Here is a 21599-nt window from a genome sequence, read left to right as displayed (position 1 = left end):
TATATATATATATATATATAAATTTTTCTGCCTATTTCCCACCATTATTTTGAGGATTAAATTAAATAATGAACATTCTTAATGATCTGCTATATAATAATCAATATAGAGAGCTGTAAAAGGACCTCTGTATGTGAAAAATTGGAGGAAGATGGCAAGAAGGATCACAAATAACAGATGGATATTTAATGATTTGTTTTTTGGGTGCGACAATAACATGGTGGTTGTAATTTGTAAGAGTGTTCTCAGAGAAATACTGATGGATAAAATTATATGTCTGAGATTTTAAAATAATCCAAAACAGAATTGGATTGGGCACAGTGGCTTATGCCTGTGGTCCAAGCGCTTTGGGAGGCTGAGGCTAGAGGATCACTTGAGGCTAGAAGTTCAAAACCAGCCTGGTTAACAAAGCAAGACCTCACCTCTATAAAAACTTTAAAAATTAGCTGGGTATGGTGGTGCACACCTGCAATCTCAGCTATTCAGGAGGCTGAGGCAGGAGGATCATTTGAGCCCAGGAGTTTGAGGCTGCAGTGAGCCATGATCATACTACTACACTCTAGCCAGCCCACATCAGAGCAAGACTTTGTCTCAAAAAAATAAAAGAAAGAAAGAAAAAAAAAAAGAGAAAGGAAAAGAAAGAATCAGAGGTGGGAGAGATTGGATAAAACAAGAGTGGCCAAAAGTTGTTAACTAATAAAGTTGGTTAAAGGTACATGAAGGTTCATTTTATTATTCTATCTTTGTATGTGTTTAAATTTTTCCACAATAAAAATAGCAAGAAAACAAAAACAAACAGAAAACAGAAAGATGAAAAAGGAAAATAACACAAAATCACAAAAGCCTAGTGAGAAGAGTTTCAAGGAGGTGGTCATGAGGTTAAATTTCTACAGGGAGGTCATGAATGTTGATGAAGAAATAACATTTAAAACTACAGAATACAGAATTTATAATTTTGGCAAGTTCCTTAAGTTTAATTACCTTACATAAATATGTACTTAACAAATGCTAGATTGAATATTAATTCCATTTAAGAATATGCTAAGATTATTAAAATAAAATACATACACACATATACGTCTAGAGCTACCATGTTCATGGGTTACAGTTCAAATTTCTAGCCACCAATCATTGCAAAAGTACTACAGGGCAAGTGGAAGTAGATATATGCAACTATAGACTACTGGAGCAAAATTCTCAAAAAAAAAAAAATAATAAGACTAGAAAACAAATTTTGAATAAGATTTGAAGTACTAAGTTAACTTGATCTATTTCTAACTGCTAAATATTTTAATGAAACATGTTGATACTTGCCTCCACTTCAGCCATGAATGCCTCCAAGGGATCATCATCGCTGTCAGAATCTACTGGCTTGGAATGGAATTGCTGGCGAGTTGGTGAGTTTTCAGCAGGAATGTAAGGTAAATCAACGTTGCTAGAATCTTCTTCCTCATCTTCAAAATAGCTGAGAATTAGAAAGCAAACTGGTAAAGTGAATGCTTACTTTGGGGTCAGTAAATCTTTCATTTAACAACATTTTTATTATGGTATATCTTATTATTAGGAGATGTAATGCAGATCAAATTAGAGACCTCCAAGGCTTTGGCTAATGACCTAATTATTAAGTACTACTTAATACATGCAAAATTTCAATATTACAAAAAAGTAATCACAAGAGATTCTCCATTTCAATAGTGTATAGTCAAATCATGCTCCCAGTTCTGTTAAAAGGGAAGAGTTTTCAGTACAAACTTACTGACCATTGTTAGATAAATATGACAAATATTAAAGAGCTGTGCTATGGGAAAAAAGAAAACTTTTTTTTTTTTTTGAGACGGGGTTTTCCTCATCGCCCAGGCTGGAGTGCAGTGGCACAATCTGGGCTCCCTGCAACCCCCGCCTTCTGGGTTCAAGCTATTCTCCTGCCTTGCCCTCCCTAGTAGCTGGGATCACAGGCACCTGCCACCATGCCTGGCTAATTTTTGTATTTTTAGTAGAGACAGGGGTTTCACCATGTTGGCCAGGCTGGTCTCGAACTCCTTACCTTACGTGATCTGCCCTCCTCAGCCTCCAAAGTACTGAGATTACAGGCGAGAGCCACTGTGCACAGCCAAAAGGAAACTTACTGAAACATTAGAAATCCAGTTTATTCTTTATAACCCTTAATAAAAACTTGAGATATTCTTTTAAGACCAAAAACCTCAGAAATTCTGGGCTATTTTCTGGGGACCAACAGAAAACTTCCGGAATTGAAAATAAATGTTCAGGCCAGGCGTGGTGGCTCACACCTCTAATCCCAGCACTTTGGGAGGCCGAGACAGGTGCATCACTTGATGTCAAGAGTTTGAGACCAGCCCAGCCAACATGGTGAAACCCTGTGTCTACTAAAAATACAAAATTAGCCAGGCATGGTTGCACATGCCCGTAATCCCAGCTACTCGGGAGGCTGAGGCAAGAGAACTGCTTGAACCCAGGAGGTGGAGGTTGCAGTGAACTGAGATTGTGCCACTGCACTCCAGCCTGGGTGACAGAGCAAGACTCTCTCAAAAAACGAGGAAAAAAGCAAGAAAATAAATGCTCAATCCAAAATAATTTAAGATACTACTTAAGTATTCAGAAAGGACATCTTCAAAGGCTGGATAAGGTATCACTTTCTCTTTAACAAACATTTCAGAAAAGGATGTCAATACAGCTCTTTATAAACTAAACCACTGTTTAGACTTTAATCTCAAACTCAAATAGTAATATAACCAAATATTAATTTAAATAAATAACTGCAGTTTAAAAAGTTAAAGCATTTCAAGTCTTCCTAGGAATTATTTTAAAAGCTTTAACTGTTATGCTATATACACACATGCATACATATATATACACACTAATGTAACACTGACTATATGTAACAATAATATAGGCTAAACTATATAGTATATATGCTTTTTTGTTTTTGAGACAGCCTCGCCCTGTCGCCCAGGCTGCAGTGCAGCGGCGTGATCTCTGTGCTCACTGCAACCTCCACCACCCAGGTTCAAGCAATTCTCCTGCCTCAGTCTCCCAAATAGCTGGCATTACAGGTGCACGCCACTGCACCCAGTTAATTTTTGTGGTCTTTTTGTTTTTGAGATGGAGTCTTGCTCTGTCGCCCAGGCTGGAGTGCAGTGGCACGATCTCAACTCAGTGCAGCCTCTGCCTCCCAGGTTCCAGTGATTCTCCTGCCTCAGCCTCCCAAGTAGCTGGGATTATATGCGCCGCCACCACACCCAGCTAATTTTTGTATTTTTAGTAGAGATGGGGTTTTGCCACGTTGTCCAGGCTGGTCTCTAACTCCTGACTTCAGGCGATCCGCCCGCCTCGGCCTTCCAAAGTGCTGGGATTACAGGTTTGAGCCACCATGCCCAGACCAATTTTTGTATTTTTAGTAGAGACGGGGTTTCACCATGTTGTCCAGGCTGGTCTCAAACTTCTGACCTCAAGTGATACACCCACCTCGGCCTCCCAAAGTGCTGGGATTACAGACGTGAGCGATTGTGCCTGGCCTAAAATATATAGTCTATATGCTTATGCCAACTCCTTTATATAGTAACTGTTATGTATACTAATGTAGCAATAGCATACTCACGCTATATACTATACGATGCAATATATATGCAATATATAGCATACATATATACACATATTTACTCATGCATATTCATTCATATAGTAGGTTTTTAGTTTTTTGTTTGTTTTTTTAGAGACAGAGTCTCACTCTGACATACAGGCTGATGTGCAGTGATGCAAACATAGCTATCTGCAGCTCAGACTCCTGGGCTCAAGCAGTCTTTCCACCTCTGCCTCCTGTATATAGTGTGTTCTATTTAACTAATGAAAAAGTAGCCTGAACTGGTTAACTGCTGTTTAGAATAATGATCTCTGACTTTGCTAAAACTTAAACACTACTTGTATATTTGACTCCTAAATAACATGTCAGCTTTCTAAAATATTACTGTGTACTTTCAAAATATTTTGGCCAGGTGCAGTGGCTCATGCTTGTAATCCCAGCACTTTGGGAGGCCGAGGCAGGCAGATCACCTGAGGTTACGAGTTTGAAACCAGCCTGGCCAACACGGAGAATCCCTGTCTCTACTAAAAATACAAAATTAGCCAGGCGTGGTGGCACATGTCTGTAATCCCAGCTACTAAGGAGGCTGAGACAGGAGAATTGCTTGAACCCAGGAGGCAGAGGTTGCTGTGAGCCTAGATCACGCCACTGCACTCCAGCCTGGGCAACAAGAGCGAAACTCTGTCTCAAAAAAAAAAAAAAAAAAACAAAAACAAAAACAAAAACAAAAAAGTCTTTTAGAAGCTTTTTTTTCCAATTAACATCTGCTGGGTGCAGTAGCTCACGCCTATAATCCCAGCACTTTGGGAGGCCAAGGCGGGAGGATCACTTGAGCCCAGGAGTTTCAGACCAGCCCGGGCAACAAAGCAAGACCCTGTCTCTACAAAAGAATAAAAAATTGGCCAGGCATGGTGGCTCAGGCCTTTAATTCCAGCATTTTGGGAGGCTGAGGCGGGTGGATCACCTGAGGTCAGGAGTTCGAGGCCAGCCTGGCCAACCTGGTGAAACCGCGTTTCTACTAAAAATACAAAAATCAGCTGGGTGTGGTGGCAGGCACCTGTAATCCCAGCTACATGGGAGGCTGAGGCGTGAGAATCACTTGAACCCAGGAAGTGGAGGTTGCTGTGAGCCTAGATCACGCCACTGCACTCTAGCCTGGGTGAGACAGTGAGACTCCATCTCAAAAAAGAAAAAAAAAAGAATAAAAAATTAGCAGGGTATGGTGGCATGTGCCTATGGTCCTAGCTACTCAGGAGGCTGAGGTGGGAGAACTGCTTAACTGCTTTAGCCTGGGAGGTCGAGACTGCAGTGAGCCTTGATCGCACCACTCCACTCCAGCCTGGGTGACAGAGTGAGACCCTATCTCAAAACAACAACAAAAACAAAACAAAACAAAAAAAACCTCAAGCAGTGAAGCAGTGTCACAATCAGCTTGGAAATAATAGCAACAAGAGATTTCTTCAGATTCAGCAAAGAGAGATATTTTGTATAGAAATTAGAACTCAACCCCTTAAATCCCAGCCTTTTCTAACCACATTATTATATCAGCAAGTTAAAAACGGTAATTGGTAAAAAGCATTTACCAATTATGAGAACTATGGGAAAAATGTGAGTAGATTTTTCTACCACTATCAGACGTTCCAACATACTAGTTTTGAAGACTTAGATGTAGCCCGGGCCCAGTGGCTCACGCCTGTATAATCCTAGCAGTTTGGGAGGCTGAGGCGGGCGGATCATGAGGTCAGGAGATTGAGACCATTGTGGCTAACACGGTGAAACCCCGTCTGTACTAAAAATACAAAAAATTAGCTGGGCATGGTGGCACGTGCCTGTAGTCCTAGTTACTTGGGAGGCTGAGGCAGGAGAATCACTTGAACCTGGGAGGCGGAGGTTGCAGTGAGCCAAGATCGCGCTACTGCATTCCAGCCTGGGTGAGAGAGACTCCATCTCAAAAAAAAAAAAAAAAAAGACTCAGATGTTGAAGCAAACTTGTATTTCCATCAGTTCTGACAACGGCCTGTGTTTACTAAACAATTTATATGGTGTCAGTAAAAGACTGCAGTAAAGACCACCAGGCCAGGTGCAGTAGCTCATGCATGTAATCCCAGCACTTTGGGAGGCCAAGGCGGGCAGTTCACCTGAGGTCAGGAGTTTGAGACCAGCCTGGCCAACATGGTGAAACCCCATCTCTACTAATAATACAAAAATTAGCCCAGCATGGTGGTGCATGCCTGTAATCCCACCTACACAGGAGGGTGAGGCTGGAGAATCACTTGAACTCGAGAGGTTGAAGTTGCGGTGAACCGAGATTGCACCATTATACTCCAGCCTGGGTGACGAGCAAAACTCTGCCTCCAAAAAAAAAAAAAAAAACCACATGAATTATATAAAACTCTTCAGCCATATTTATGTTTCAATGGCTTTTTGGTTTTTTTCTGAGATGGGAGTCTTGCTCTGTCGCCCAGGTTGGAGTGCAATGGCACCATCTTGGCTCACTGCAACCTGTGCCTCCCGGGTTCAAGCGATTCTCCTGCCTCAGCCTCCTCCTGAGTAGTTGGGATTATAGGCGTGCACCACCACGCCTGGCTAATGTTTTGTATTTTTAGTAGACAGGGTTTCACCATATTGGCCAGGCTGTTCTCAAACTCCTGACGTCAGATGATCCATCCGTCTCGGCCTCCCAGAGTGCTGGGATTACAGGTGTGAGCCACCACGCCCAGCTACCACGCCCAGCCTGTTTCAATGGCTTCTAATCCCACAGTGAGCAACAGCCCAGTAGGACGTAACACTGAATGAGTAAAGGTATAAGTAACACCACAGGTATTACATTCCTTACAAATGAGTAAACCTGATAATTTAACTTATTAGGAACAATGGAATTCAGCGAGACACATAATTTAAGAATTCATTATTATTTGAGAAACAAAGTTTCTTTGCCTCAATTTCTGCTGATAGAATGAATATATCAAAGTCCAAACTTTGCTACACTACCAGGAATTACCACTTACGCATTTTCTTCATCAAAGTTGGCCCGCTTAGATCCAATTTTGTAGAAAGAAGGAAGCTGTGGTGGAGCTGACTTTCCAAATCCAGAAGAAGAGCTGGTTGCCCCAAAGGCACTGTGGGACTGCTGTGGGAGTTTGGGTTCCTCCTTTTTCCCAGCACTGATGGCAAAACCTCCAAAGCCAAATCCTCGCTTAGTGCCAGGACCACCTTTATTCCAGTTCATGGTGCCAATGACTGACCTGTTAGGAATAAGATACACAAATATAAATTAAACTTAAAAAAGTGTATAGCCCCAAGGGCCGGGCGCGGTGGGTCACGCCTGTAATCCCAGCACTTTGGGAGGCCAAGGCAGGTGGACCATGAGGTCAGGAGTTCAAGACCAGCCTGGCCAATATGGTGAAAACCCTTCTCTACTAAAAATACAAAAATTGGCCGGGCGTGGTGGCACATGCCTGTGGTCCCAGCTACTTGGGAGGCTGAGGCATAAGAATCACTTGAATCTGAGAGGCGGAGGTTGCAGTGAGCTGAGATCGTGCCACTGCACTCCAGCCTGGGCGACACAGCGAGACTCCGTCTCAAAAACAAAAAAGAAGTATATAGCCCCACTGAGTTGTATGTCTCTTCCAACCTCCACCTAAAATTTTATTTTAAATTTTAGCTTCTCAATTAAAACTATAACACTGTAGTCAGGAGAGTGGCCCAGGCCAGTAATGCCAACTACTTGGGAGGCTTAGGCAGGAAGACTACTTGAACCCAGGAGTTCCAGATTACACTGAGCTATGATCACGCCACTGCACTCAAGCCTGGGTGACAGAGATTGTCTCTTTTTACATTAAAAAAGAAAAGACAAGAAAAGAAAATCCATCTCATTAAGAGATTCATTTCCAGCCCAGCTATTCAGGAGGCTGAGGCAGGTAAACTGCTTGAGCCCAGGAGTTCAAGGTTACAGTGTGCTATGATCCTGCCTGTGAATAGCCACTGTATTCCAGCCTGGGCAACATAGTGAAATCCTGTCTCTTAAAAAAACAAAAACAAAACCCACAAAAGTTGACATTGTATTTCAGATACACACCATGCTAGCCTCAACAAATGATTATATTTTCTAAAACACTGAAGAAATTGTTTTAATTTTATTGGGATCTCAGTATAAACCAGAATGCAGTATTTAATATCATCCCCTCCAAAAGGATTTGCCTGCTAATTAACATCTTATTAAGCTGACAAAAATACTCATAAAAAGAAATATTTTGGGGAATCTGATATGTGCAAGGCCACTGGAGATATGAAAAGACTAAATATCTTCATCCTTATATGAAAGACTGAGCTGCTATCAGCCAAGACTCTCCGAAAACTAGAGGTTATCCTCTGGTAATGACATCTGGAAGAATCAAAGAATCAAAACTTAAAAGATCAGTTGTTTGTAGACAGTATCTATGTATTCATGTCTGCAGGAAAGGTACTATGAACCATGTATTTATTGAACAACTGCCCAATAGAAACACTATCCAGGAAGAAACTATGATTCACTGACATGTTGCCTGAAGTATTCAGTTAGCCTGTGGTTAAGAGTTACAAAGAAATTTCTTGTGCATTCATAAAATCAATTTACAAACAATACCTTACATTAGTCTTGGCTCCAAAAACCTTTTCTTTCTTTTTTTTTTTTTTTTAAGGAACAGGGTCTTGTGATGTTGTCCAGGCTGGTCTCAAACTTCTAGCCTCAAGAGACCCCCCCCTCTCACATCTGCCTCCCTAAGTGCTGGGATTACAGGCATGAGCCACTGCACCTGGCCCAAAAAAAATTTTTTTGTTTTTTGTTTTTTGAGACAGAGCCTTGATCTGTCACCCAGGCTGGAGTGCAGTGGCCCAATCTCGGCTTGCTGCAACCTCTGTCGCCTGGGTTCAAGTGATTCTCATGCCTCAGCCTCCTGGGTAGCTGGGATTACAAGTGTGCACCACCACATCCAGCTAATATTTTGTATTTTTAGTAGAGATGGGCTGGTCTGGAACTCCTGGCCTCAAGTGATCCACCCACCTCAGCCTCCCAAAGTGCTGGGATTACAGGCATGAGCCCCTGCACCTGGCCCCCCAAAACCCTTTTTAATGATACAACTTACCTAAGTTTTACAGAAAAGCAGAAAGCAAAAAAGAACAAAATTTAAAACTACCTGAAATTTCCTCTCCCAGATATGTAGTTTTGTTCTATTTTTTGCTACTTGTATGCATATGTGTATATACACACAAATTAAAAATTGAAACCATACTGTACATATTGTCTTAGTGATTTCTTCACCTAATGATATACTGTGATATTGTTTAATGTCAATAGATATCTATTTCTTCACTACTTGACAGTATAATACTGGTAACACAATGTTGCAAAACACATCATTATAGCTACATCTTTGTGCATACCTTCAATTATTTCCTTAGGAACAAGTTTTAAAATGCAACTGCTCAAAGGAAAATGCATTCTGAGTTAAAAAAAAAAATCTTTTTTTAAGACAAGTTCTTGCTGTCACCCAGGCTGCATTACAGTGGTCTGATTGCAGCTCACTGCAGCCATGAACTCCTGGGCTCAAGTGATCCTCCCACCTCAGCCTCCTGAGTAGCTGGAACTACAAACATGAGCCACCATGCCTGGGTTTTTATTTTAATTTTTTGTGGTCTCACTATGTTGCCTAGGCTGGTCTCGAAATCCTGGCCTCAACCAGTCCTCCCACCTCAGTCTCCCAAAGTGCTGGAATTAACAGACATGACTCACACCACCTTGCCTGGCCTAAAAATTTTAACTACTACTTACATTTATGAAAAAGTATCCATTACACATTGAGTAAAATAAGGGCATAAAACAAGGTGGGTAGTATGATTTAATTTATGTAAAAACCATGAGTTATATATACAGAGACAGCTGACAGGCTGTTTATCAAAATGTTAACAGCAGCTATTTGATTTTTATTTTGTTTACCATTAGTAAGAAAAATTAAAATGTTTACTTTAATTTTAATTTCCACTAGCTTTGAAGCCAGGGTGGAAAAAAATTCCAAAAACTGTTTATTATAGTAACATTGTCGAAGAGATCAGAAACATGCACTGTTCTATACCCCTTGTCTATATATACTTCATAGGTTTTGTTCAACTGCTATTATACACAGCACTTAGTTGTTTGCTTAGTTTTAAGGTTTTTGTTTGTCTGTTTGTTTTTTTGGGAGACAGAGTTTCACTCTGCCTCCCAGGCTGGAGTGCAGTGGTACAATCTTAGCTCACTGCAACCTCTGCCTCCATGGTTCAAGTGATTATCCTGTCTCAGCCTCCCGAGTAGCTGGGATTACAGGCGTGTGCCACCAGGCTCAGCTAATTTTTTGTATTTTTAGTAGAGATGGGGTTTCGTTATGTTAGGCAGGCTGGTCTTGTACTCCCGACCTCAATCAATCCAACCACCTTGGCCTCCCGAAGTGCTGGGATTACAGGTGTGAGCCACGGCACCCAGGCTGCTTAGTATTAAACTTGAATTACACTACATCAATCTCTACTTAGACCCTTAACTCCAGATAGAAACTGTCTTTACTCATTTTGGACTTCCTTCTCTAACAGTGAGAATGACTAAGGTATGTATTTAGTAAGTACTAATTTACCTGAACTTCATCTCCTGCTGTCTTTCGGAATCCCATAAGGGGATTCCTTCAATCAAGGAATCAACGTAATTCCAGTGTGATGAAATTTAGTAAGAATCTTTACAAGCAAGAAAATTTCAGCATCTGACGTTTTTAAACTAATCTATAAGCTATCTTTACAAGAGGTGTTCCCAAGCAACAAAAAGGATGGGCTCAATTTTAATCTCATTTTTCCTAGTGTATACAATGTATAACAAGGAGCTAATAAGCCATAAGGATGAGAAGGCAAAGAAAGGATAGTGGAAAGACATTTACGTTCAGGTGGATTTTAAGAATCACACAATCTCCTAGCAGGAAAACTTTCAATGGTTTACTGAAAGCTTGCTGAGAAGGTCAGGTGGTATATGATGTGCTAGGCATTCATACATGAAAGATACAGTCCCTGTTCTCAAGGAGTAGACAGTGCAGTCTGAGGCAGCTGAAAACAACATGATGCGTTCTAACAGACGTACTATACAGAGTGCATTCACTGGTGGTCCATGAGTGGGAGCAAAGGCATAGAAGTGTTCTGAGAGATGACATGTTAAATTTTGAAACCTCAAGAGGCATTAGATCAAAGAGGCATTAAAGAAGGGCATTTCAGATGGAAGGATCTGTTAAGTGTTACCACAGAGAACAAGAAATAGTTCAGTGCAGCTAGAGTTCAGTAGCACATTTGGGAAATTTGCAGGACACATGTTCAGAAAGACAGGTAGGGCCAAGATGAACAGCTTAGAAGGCTATGCTAACGACGTACCATACAAAACTGTATTCTGCCAGCTACAAAGAATCGTTAATTTTACACAGAAGGGAAATTTTCAGATCAGTGTTTTTGAAAGACAGAATGAGAGATACTCATGGTAGAGGCAAGGAAAGTAGAAGGCTGTTGCAGCAACGCAGGTATAAAGCGACAAAATTCTGAACTAAGAAAGCACCTGTGGGAAAGGAGAAACGGGGGATGGATCTGAGTTATTTATTTAGATATCTGAGGAAAGATCAATTAGGATTGTGTGACCAGTAATTGGTGTGGAAGCTAAGGAAGAAGAGTCTAGAATAACTTCAGAAGTTTCTGGCTTTAAAGACTGGGTGAACTGTGGAGCCACTAATGGAGATGGAAACCTAAAAGAGCCAGGTTTGCAAAATTAGGCAAAAGGTGAGTTCAGTATCTATGAGAGAGCTGAGTAGAGATGCCAAGCAGGGGCAGTAACTGCAGAGAGGGGTCCGGAGTGAGCTATAGATTTGATGTAAGCCATTTGCATTTGAGGTTACTGATGTAAATAAGCTAGCAGAGAGACCATGCAGAGTGAGAAAAGAAGTAAGACAATTCTTTCTTTTCTCCCCAAGACGGAGTCTTGCTCTGTCGCCCAGAGCTGGAGGGCAATGGCATGATCTTGGCTCACTGCAACCTCCGCCTCCTGAGTTCAAGCAATTCTCCTGCCTCAGCCTCCCGAGTAGCTGGGATTACAAGCACGCACCACCGTGCCCAGCTAATTTTTGTATTTTTAGTAGAGACAGGTTTCACCATGTTGGCCAGGCTGGTCTCAAACTCCTGACCTCGTGATCCACTGCGCCCAGCTGGTAAGACAATTCTTTTTTTATTTTTATTTTTTGAGACGGAGTCTCACTCTGTCGCCCAGGCTGGAGTGCAGTGGCACAATCTCGGCTCACTGCAAGCTCTGCCTCCCGGGTTCACACCATTCTCCTGCCTCAGCCTCCCCAGTAGCTGGGACTACAGGCACCTGCCACCAGGCCCGGCTAATTTTTTGTATTTTTAGTAGAGACGGGGTTTCACCATGTTAGCCAGGATGGTCTCGATCTCCTGGCCTCGTGATCCACCTGCCTCGGCCTCCCAAAGTGCTAGGATTACAGGCGTGAGCCACCACATCCGGCCCAGTAAGACAATTCTTAACATATATCACTATTTAGGAATGGGCAGAAAAAGAGAAGCTTACATGGAAACTTCAGATGGAACAGGGATTGGGGAAGGGAAAGAAAGAAGAGGGGGAAAGAAGGAAGGGGAGACAAGGAGGAACACGGGTGAGGAGAAAGAAGCTCTATAGGCAGAAAACTAAAGAGAAGTTAGGTAAGTTAAGAACTAAAATGTGCCAGGCACGGTGGCTCACGCCTGTAATCCCAGCACTTTGGGAGGCCAAGGCAGGCGGATCACAAGGTCAGGAGATCAAGACCATCCTGGCTAACACGGTGAAACCCCATCTCTACTAAAAATACAAAAAATTAGCCGGACGTGGTGGCGGGCACCTGTAGTTCCGGCTACTCAGGAGGCTGAGGCAGGAGAAAGGCATGAACCTGGGAGGTAGAGCTTGCGGTGAGCCAAGATCCGGCTACTACACTCCAGCCTGGGCGAGAGTGCGAGACTCTGTCTCAAAAAAACAAAACAAAAAGAACTAAAATTCTTCTGTTGTATAGGCAACCAGGAGTCATCAGTGAAAGCAGTTTCAATGGAGCAGTAGGGACAGGGTTGAGGAGTACCTGGCAAGTAAGTAGTAGAAGATGAAGACTAGGTCAAGAGGAGTCAAGAGTACTTTGTAGGCTGTTTATCAATGATAGGAAGGAGAAAGTGAAGCATTACCTACAGAAATTTTATTTTTTAAAGAAACATAGGCATGTTTATATGCTAAAGGGGAAAAACCAGTAAAGTCTGAAAAACTGAAGATGCAAAATGACAGAAAAAAGTCATAGGATTTCCAGAGAAGACCAGACACAATCAAAACTTTTAACAACAGGAGTAACTCACTCTTCCCCCAAAGCTAGAGGGAAGGAGTGAAAAGAACAAACATGACTATGAATCAGCCCTATTAAATAATCAAAAGGTTCATATTACAAAAGCAGCAAATCAACTCCTGCCACAAACAGGCAGGCAGTGAGACCTTGGGCAGGTGAGGGTTGCTTACTGGCTCTCAAGACTTAGCAAGTTGGAAAAGCGATCCTTTCCCTAGCTCATCTAGAACACACAGCTCATTGTCCCTCAATTACTGACTCTAGGAAGGCCAAGGAACTGTGCTTTCTATATACCCTGAGTAGAATGTTAGCTCTATGAGGGCATAGACTTGACTCAATTTGTCCAGCACTATATCCTTGGTGTCTGCATAGTACTCAAAAAATTTTGCTGTATGAATAAATGTAATGTATTCAGGCTCTCCAAAATTCATCCCAGTATTTATGAAAACTCTATTTTATTACTACAAACCTTGTTATCTAGCTAACCACCCTTCCTGATTAAATCTAAGCCAGATCATCCTCAATGGATCATTACTTAAGTCTCTTGACAACAGTTTTTCCTACTTTTTTTTTTTTTTGTTTTTTTGAGACAGTTTCGCTCTTGTTGCCCAGGCTGGAGTGCAATGGCGCAATCTCAGCTCACCACAACCTCCGCCTCCCAGGTTGAAGTGATTCTCCTGCCTCAGCCTCCCAAGTAGCTGGAATTACAGGCATGTGCCACCACGCCTGGCTAATTTTGTATTTTTAGGAGAGATGGGGTTTCTCCATGTTGGTCAGGCTGGTCTCAAACTCCCGACCGCCGGTGATCTGCCTGCCTTGGCCTCCCAAAGTGCTGGGATTACAGGCGTGAGCCACCGTGCCCGGCAGTTTTTCCTACTATTAAACCATGTAGTGTATATGGTTACTGAACCTTGACAATCACAGAGATTTGTGGGAGTATAGCTGACAGAAGAAGCAAAAGATAGCCACCCAAATTTCTATTTGGTTACTAAAAAAATAAAAGAGGCAGATGCAGTGGCTTACGCCTATATTCCCAGTACTCTGGGAAGCAGGAGGATGGCTTGAGGCCAGGAGTTTGAGACCAGCCTGGGCAACACAGCGAGACCCCATCTCTACAAAGAAAACAAAAAGAAAAAAAAAAGAGATACCTAGAATAGTCAAACTCAGAGACACAGAGTAGAAGAGTGGTTGCCAGGGGCTGCGAGGAGGGGAGAATAGGGTGTTATTGTTTAATGGGTACAGAATTTCAGTTTTACAAGATGAAAAGTGTCCTGTGGCTAGATTGTGGTGATAGTACCAAAAGAAGAAAACAAAATGAGGTGGGCACAGTGGCTCACAACTGCAGTCCCAGCACTTTGGGAAGCCAAGGCAGGAGGATGGCTCGAGCTCAGGAGTTAGAGGTCAGCCTGGACAACAATGAAAGACCTGATTTCTACAAAAAATACAAAAATTACCCAGGTGTGGTGGTGTGCACCTGTAGCCCCAGCTACTCGGGAGGTTGAGGTGGGAGGATGGCCTGAACCCAGGAGTCGGAGGTTGCAGTGGGCCGAGATCATGCCAATGCACTCCAGCCTGGGTGACAGAGTGAGACTGCGTCTCAAAAAAACAAAACCAAAACAAACAAAAAAAACACACTTGGGGAAATTCAACTGCATTTTTGTATTTTTTCTCTTAAAAAAGATTTCTTCATTTCCTGCTGGGGTGCCAAAAAATAAAAATTTAAAAAAGAACCCTTTTGAAATACCTAATTTGAAAAGAATTAGCTGAATAGAGCCATAAACAAAGTTTAATGAGTATTTGTTTAAAAAAGAACAACCCTAAGTGGTTCTTAGTAATAACATCCATTGTTTTATACTGACCAATAACCACTGATGATTTTGTTATGTGCCCAGTACTATGAGGGACATCCCTCACGTATACCCGCCTTTCCATCTCCACCTCCACTATTGCAATTATTTCCTAAAAAAAAATTTCTGATTATTGGGAGGCCGAGGTGGACGGATCACAAGGTCAGGAGATCAAGACCATCCTGGCCAACATGGTGAAACCCCATCTCTACTAAAAATACAAAAATTAGCCAGGCGTGATGGCGCGCACCCATAGTTCCAGCTACTTAGGAGGCTGAGGCAGGAGAATCTCTTGAACCCAGGACACGGAGGCTGCAGTGAGCCGAGATCGTGCCACTGCACTCCAGCCTGGATAACAGAGCGAGATGCTGTCTTAAAAAAAAAAAAAACTTTATTATCAAGCTCTCACAGCACTACTAGAGTGATCACTAAGTCAAAATATACTGAGTGCCTATTTTGTGCCAGTAACTGCTCTAAGGTGCTAAGGATACAGTAATGGAATCAGATGCAGCCATACTCAGAGTTCACAGTCTGGCCCAGGAGAAAGAAAAACTAAATCATGTAATTCCAGGTAGCAAAAGTGCTATGAAAAGCAAGCAAGAGGGTAAGAGGCAAGCTATTGCAGACTTAAGTCAGGCAAGGCCTCTCTGAGATGAATGACATTTGACAGGTAATCCTCCCCTGACTACTGTCCCAAGAATGTCTGTTTTATTGGAAAAGTAATGTGGATGTACATCCAGATGCTTCATCTAAAACCAGCAAATCTTCCATAGTCTATGAGAAGTGATTCTGTTTAGTAAAGCATAAAATGATGAAGTAATAGTGAGACACACAGTGAAAAGAGAAAAGCAAGTTTTACCTCCTTTGGTAGAGTAGCATAGTGTGTGTTAATACCGTGGAACCAGAAAAAGTCTCACAGAAGGGAGGTCAGTATTCAGATGCTTATCGAAAACCCTTTCCAGGTTCTTCCAGAACACACATTTCTGATTATGTCACTCTCCTCAATTCCATAGCTCTCCACAGTTAATCATGCTGGAATGAGACCCTCCATTGTGGCATCAAACTACTTTACCATTCATATTTCCCAGGGTCTCTCCACACGTACTCAGTTTTCCAGGAAAACAAGCACTCTAGTGAATCCTCTTCCCTCTAACTGGATCCCCTTCACATCAAATCTCTTTCCTATAAACTGTGAGTACCTACCAAAGTCCTATCCTTCAAAGCATATCTCAAATACCAACTCCTAAAGACATGAATATGATATCCCCAAAGAAATGGCATCTCCTGGCTGGGCACGGTGGCTCACGCCTGTAATCTCAGCACTTTGGGAGGCCGAGACGGGTGGATCACGAAGTCAGGAGATCGAGACAATCCTGGCTAACATGCTGAAACCCCATCTCTATTAAAGATACAAAAAAATTAGCCAGGCGTGGTGGTGGGCACCTGTAGTCCCAGCTACTCCGGAGGCTGAGGCAGGAGAATCACTTGAACCCGGGAGACGGAGCTTGCAGTGAGCCAAGATCGCGCCACTGCACTCCAGCCTGGGCGACAGAGTGAGACTCCGTCTCAAAAAAAAAAAAAAAGAAAGAAAAAGAAATGGCATCTCCTTCCTCAAACTCCCTTTCCAGTCCAACTCCGTATTATAGGATTCATGGCTGAAGAAACAGGCTTATTCACTTTTCTCTTATAGCATGTTTTCAATATTAGATACTCATTTATTCAATATGTAAAAGACTAAAGGAGATCTACAACTAGGCTGAAGAGAAACAGTCAAGATGGCATCAAGTCCTATTTGGTATGGTTCTAGGCACTAAATCCTATGGCTGGCTGGGCAAGGTGGCTCACACCTGTAATCCTCGCCCTTTGGGAGGCCAAGGTGGGAGGATCACTTAAGGCCACGAGTTTGAGACCAGCCTGGGCAACACAATAAAACCCTGTCTTTACAAAAAAATTTAAAAAATTAGCCAGGCATGGTGGCACACGCCTGTAGTCCTAGCTGCTCAGGAGGCTGAGGCAAGAGGATTGCTTGAACCCAGGAGTTCCAGGTTACAATGAGCTGACTGGACCACTGCACTCCAACCTGGGCAACACAGCAAGACAGTCTCTAAAAAATAAATAAAACACGGTGGTTTCCTAGGAAATCTTAACAGAATAGTAAAGTAGCACAGGCTATGTGTAAACTATCTTTGCTACTAACTTGATATGAACCTCAGGGAAGTTATTTAGCTTCTCTGGGTTCAGTTTCCTCATCTATAAAAAATGGTAAGAGGCTGTGTGTGGTGGCTCACGCCTGTAATCCCAGCACTCTGGGAGGCTGAGGCAGGCGGATTACTTGAGCTCAGGAGTTCAAGACCAGCCTGGGCAACACAGCCAGACACCATCTCAAAAAAAAAAAAAAAAGATGAGACTATCACCTATCTCAAGAGTTGGCGTGAAAAATTAAGTTCATACACAAAAATGTACTTGTTCAATATGTCAGCTACCATCGTGTTTTTCATTATTACATTATTTCTGAAGAACCAATTTCTTCATCGGTAAATTGAGACTATCAGACTTCTTTCAACTCAGGTATTTCATACATAAGCGCCACAAGAACACTGAAGATGTCAGAGATCACCATGAGCTAACAAGCAAGGGCAAGTGTCATAACAGAGTCAGAAGCCAGGCTAGGCACAGAAAGATGAAAGCTGGGTAGAGACGTGCAGACGAAGACATTCCAGGGAGAAAGACTGAACTAGCAAAGGCTAGGAAGTGAGAATAAATGTGGAACACACTTATAAAGGAAGACAATTTAGCTAGTTTGTGTTTTCGGCAATGGCGGAAAATAAGATATGATCTAAATGACTTTAAATATAGTGGACTAAAAACAACTGATTATATAAGCCACATTACTTTATCACTTGTATTTTTGGAGGTGGAAGGAAGAGTTCTAGTGACAGTGATTAGCATCTACTCTACATATACTTTGAGAGTACCTCACACACTATATACAGGTCAGTTCTTTGATGAGAATCTAAATAAAAACTCAAGAACGTAATCACATTCTTCTAAACCAAATACAAGTAAATGCTAGGTTATGGTTATTTTAGAAGCATCCCTTCTCCTGTCAGCTTAAAGCAACTAAGAGCTGATTATATGACTATCAATGTAACAAAACAAATTTAAATAACTGCACTCCTCTCTTATATTAAATTGTTACAATATAAATCAGATATTATCATTCCTCTGATCGAAACCCTCAGATCCTTCCTAAGTAACAGCCTAAAAGGCTTTGGTTGTTCCGCTCACTCCCTTCCCCCAATTCTTCCCTGACCTTATCTCCTAATACTCCCTCAGCTCACAGTGCTCCAAACGCGTTGGTCTTCACACTCTTAACGGGCCAGCTTTGTCCTCCTCAAGGCTTTTATGTTTGTTATTCTCTAGCTTGGAACGTTCCTTTCCCCAGATAAACGTAGGCTCTCACTCCACCTTCTAGTCCGCTTAAATATCAGCTTGTCTGTATGGACTTCCCTGACCACTTTATTGCAAATTCCAACACCACCACCTCCCCAACCCCCTTTCCAGCTTTCTTTTCCCTAAGATACTGATCATCTTCTAACATTCAGTATAATATATGTATCTGTTTGCCTCTCCTCCCGCTACTAGAAAGTTAAGTTCCCCAAAGGCAGGGGTCTAACACCTATCCCTATCACCTAGAACGGCGCTAGAGAATAGGCACCAATAAAAATACCCCTTGAATGAACGAATTGCACATTAGGCTACACAATGCTTCTTCCAGGTACAGGAAGATATATTTTCTTTTCCCAGCTGTCAAAATATAAACATTAATTTTTGTACGAAACACTCATTGCTCACCTCTTATGTGCCAGAAATGAGCTTGGCTCTGCAAAGCGCCTTAAGACATAGTCCCTGCGCTTGAGGAAGTCCTGGGTGTGTATACGAGAGAGGACAGACATAGAAACATCATTGACAAAAAGAAAACACAGGGAAGCCACAAGAAATTGGATAACTGCCTATAGGAGTGGGGGCAAGAGGGAAATTCTCAGTGATGAGAATGTAATTCCCCAAAACTCTCGACAGCTTCTCCTGTTTTTGATGCATATGTTTGCAATTCCATGTAAATTATTTATTCACATCAGATACGCTCTCAAGTAGGCCGCAAAAAAGTTTGTGTGACTACAGTGATGCTAATAATCGACCTACTCAACGCTGCACAAAGATCATCGCCTATATCTTTTCACTCCTCTCATTTGGCAGCTTTTGCCTCTCAGGACCCCAAATTCGGAGGCCTGCATCTCCCAAGCGCTGCCTCCTTGGGTCAGAATTCTCCCCGCGCTATTCCTGCCCTGGAGCCGGGCACCCTGCAAATCCTTTTCCTAGGCGAGGGGGCGCCGCCTCCGGAAAGCCGCCAACTGGGCCTCGGTAAGACTTGTGAGGGAAGCGGGAGCTGTGGGAGGGCGACGCGGCTAGGAAGGAACCCTAGAGGCCTCAGCCCCCACTCCCACCCCTTCCCGGCACCCCGGCCGCCGGTGCCCCGAGGCTCTGCCGACTCTTTGTTAAGCGAGGCCGCGGTTCCTCCGCCCTCGCTAGGCCCAGCAGTTGCCTCCAGTGCCCCCAAGGACTGGCGGCCTTGCGTCCAGAAACCCCACGCACAAACCTGCTGCTATGGCTGCAGCGGCAGCTGCTACAACCGCGGGCGCGGAGCGAATCCCGGAGCCCAAAGTACGCGCTGTCCCGGCCCGGTCCCGCCGCGCTCCTTCCTCTCCGCCCCCTTCGCCGCCGCCGCCGCCACCACCACCACCGCCGCCGCCACCGCCACCACCGCCACCGCCTCACGGCCCGTTGCTGAAGGGGGGAGGGGAACAAAAACGCGACATGCGCAGTGAGGAACGCGCGGGCAGAAGGGCGGGGCCGGGGCTACGGCTCCCGGAAGGCGCCTGACCTTAAAGCTCCAGAACGCCTCACAGGCTCCTCAGATACTCTGACGGGAAACTGCAGTTGGGTGGACAGTGTTCATGACCCATCTAGAAAGTGGGTCTGCGAATGAAGAAAAAGTGGCGTCAAGGGGCTAGCCAAAAATCCCAAGAGAAAACGGGTTGGACAGAAACCATATTTACATGAACATGCCTATAGTTTAAACTGTTGCATATACTACTAGAGCGACACTCTTGCCTCTGGCCACGTGGTCCCACACAGCATGGCCACCTTTAGCTTCCGGAGCACCGGTTCCGTGTGACGTCAACTTGACGGAATCCTAGGTAGGAGGATTGGGATAGGCGAGGGCAGTTCCGGCCCAGGGGCGGGGATTATGTAATTTTCCCAAAAGCCCCACCTCGCCTCAGCCGGGCGGGAGAGAGGGAGGTCTCGCGCTTTCCCCGGGGTTGCGTCCCGCCCCGCAGGCTGCGCGCAGGCGCTGACGAGCCGCTCGCATTCTACGTAACGGACGGCGGAGGCTACGTGAAGAGAGGCGCGGCGTGACTGAGCTACGGTTCTGGCTGCGTCCTAGAGGCATCCGGGGCAGTAAAACCGCTGCGATCGCGGAGGCGGCGGCCAGGCCGAGAGGCAGGCCGGGCAGGGGTGTCGGACGCAGGGCGCTGGGCCGGGTTTCGGCTTCGGCCACAGGTAAGGAGCGGGCCAGGACGCGCTCGTCGGCGTGGCCGGGCCAGGCCGAGCGGTGACTCCGAGTTGCTTGGCCTGTAGCCCGGTCCGGTTGAGATAATTGTAATGGTTTGGGGGAACTTTCCCACGGAGCTGTGAGCAAATGATAGCCAAAAGGGCAGAGTTAGAGGAAATGTACAGTGTGTGCCGGAGGATGACATTAGGATGTATTGATTCTCTTGGGTGGGGAGAAACTAGGCAAAGGGGTTTAATAGAAGCAAAAACCTCTGTGGCCAGTCTCTTCTGGAGGTTTCTAAAATGAAACGTGTTTGTATCCAACACATATAAAGAGACAGAGGAAAGTCTGCATGATTTCCAGAATACTCGTTTTGGCCGTTGTCAGGAAGACCTAATCTAAAATGACAACAAGGAATGATGGCCTCACTCAGTCCTCTTTCCTCAAGTCTAGACTCAGTCGCTGAGGAACTATTGGATGAGCTTGCAGAAAATAATCAAACCAGACTTGTTAGCGCTTGTGTGAATTTTCCTTGGTCCTGTGTTGCTTGCTTCAGGAGTCATAGAGGCTGGGTGGTCTGGCAAGGACTTGTGCATTTGAGAACTGACAGGTGCAGCGGAGACTTCTAAGAGGGAAAACCAAGGTAAAAATGGCTTGGATGATTGTAACCTAAATAACCTTGAAGGATCTCCATTATAGTGCTGAGTTATCTCAGAAGTGTTTCTATGGTGTGAATATTCTAATTGGAAATTCAATTTGAAATGATCGGATCTTTTGGCAGGCTGTTAATCGAGTTGACTGTTCCGGTGTTAACTTTTAGTTGCTTCTATATGAAAAAAAAGTTTTAAGAGTAGGATTTGAAAAGGAGGCTGGGCGCGGTGGCCCACGTCTGTAATCCCAGCACTTTGGGAGGCCGAGACGGGTGGATCACGAGGTCAGGAGATCGAGACCATCCTGGCTAACACAGTGAAACCCCGTCTCTACTAAAAATACAAAAAATTAGCCCTGCGTGGTGGCGAGCGCCTGTAGTCCCAGCTACTTGGGAGGCTGAGGCAGAAGAATGGCGTGAACCCGGGAGGCGGAGCTTGCAGTGAGCCGAGATCGTGCCACTGCACTCCAGCCTGGGTGACAGAGTCAGACTC

At 43.9% G+C, this 21599-nt stretch overlaps 2 protein-coding genes across 6 annotated transcripts in view, besides 4 other annotated features; one reads left to right on the top strand and one right to left on the bottom strand.

Moving 5' to 3' along the window:
- The window catches only part of DDX42 (DEAD-box helicase 42), a 45518-nt gene extending 25441 nt beyond the window's left edge, over window positions 1–20077 (bottom strand). Inside the window, exons 1-6 of one of the 4 annotated variants that reach the window (XM_047435282.1) lie at window positions 19971–20077; window positions 19786–19880; window positions 19501–19688; window positions 18699–18769; window positions 6607–6843; window positions 1315–1465 (exon numbers count right to left, since the gene is read on the bottom strand). In XM_047435282.1, the coding sequence (XP_047291238.1) occupies window positions 1315–1465; window positions 6607–6827 (372 nt within the window). In that variant the 5' untranslated portion in view covers window positions 6828–6843; window positions 18699–18769; window positions 19501–19688; window positions 19786–19880; window positions 19971–20077. Of the gene's footprint in view, window positions 1–1314; window positions 1466–6606; window positions 6844–18698; window positions 18770–19500; window positions 19708–19785; window positions 19881–19970 lie in introns of those variants that run through there. The other 3 variants (XM_047435281.1, NM_007372.3, NM_203499.3) reach the window with 3 other exon arrangements.
- Window positions 19379–19668: a silencer, noted in NCBI's record as "silent region_8831". NCBI's record gives its function as "represses an Ori minimal core promoter by ATAC-STARR-seq in GM12878 lymphoblastoid cells {active_cell/tissue: GM12878}" and the evidence as "EXISTENCE:reporter gene assay evidence [ECO:0000049][PMID:35858748]".
- Window positions 19799–20108: an enhancer, noted in NCBI's record as "active region_12560". NCBI's record gives its function as "activates an Ori minimal core promoter by ATAC-STARR-seq in GM12878 lymphoblastoid cells {active_cell/tissue: GM12878}" and the evidence as "EXISTENCE:reporter gene assay evidence [ECO:0000049][PMID:35858748]".
- Window positions 19799–20405: a biological region, named in NCBI's record as "NANOG-H3K27ac-H3K4me1 hESC enhancer GRCh37_chr17:61850832-61851416".
- Window positions 19821–20405: an enhancer, noted in NCBI's record as "NANOG-H3K27ac-H3K4me1 hESC enhancer chr17:61850832-61851416 (GRCh37/hg19 assembly coordinates)". NCBI's record gives its function as "activates a minimal SCP1, AML or CMV promoter by ChIP-STARR-seq in primed H9 embryonic stem cells {active_cell/tissue: H9 hESC(primed)}" and the evidence as "EXISTENCE:reporter gene assay evidence [ECO:0000049][PMID:30033119]".
- Window positions 20280–21599, top strand: part of CCDC47 (coiled-coil domain containing 47) — a 28343-nt gene continuing 27023 nt past the window's right edge. Inside the window, exon 1 of one of the 2 annotated variants that reach the window (NM_020198.3) lies at window positions 20280–20465. The gene's annotated coding sequence lies outside the window, so the exon portion shown is untranslated. Of the gene's footprint in view, window positions 21101–21599 lie in introns of both variants that reach the window. The other variant, XM_005257527.3, reaches the window with a different exon arrangement.

This window comes from Homo sapiens, chromosome 17 (assembly GCF_000001405.40).
Source record: "Homo sapiens chromosome 17, GRCh38.p14 Primary Assembly".
Classification (NCBI taxonomy): Eukaryota; Metazoa; Chordata; class Mammalia; order Primates; family Hominidae; genus Homo; species Homo sapiens.
Note: the sequence above shows the minus strand (reverse complement) of the source record. Positions and strands in the feature narration are given on the sequence as shown.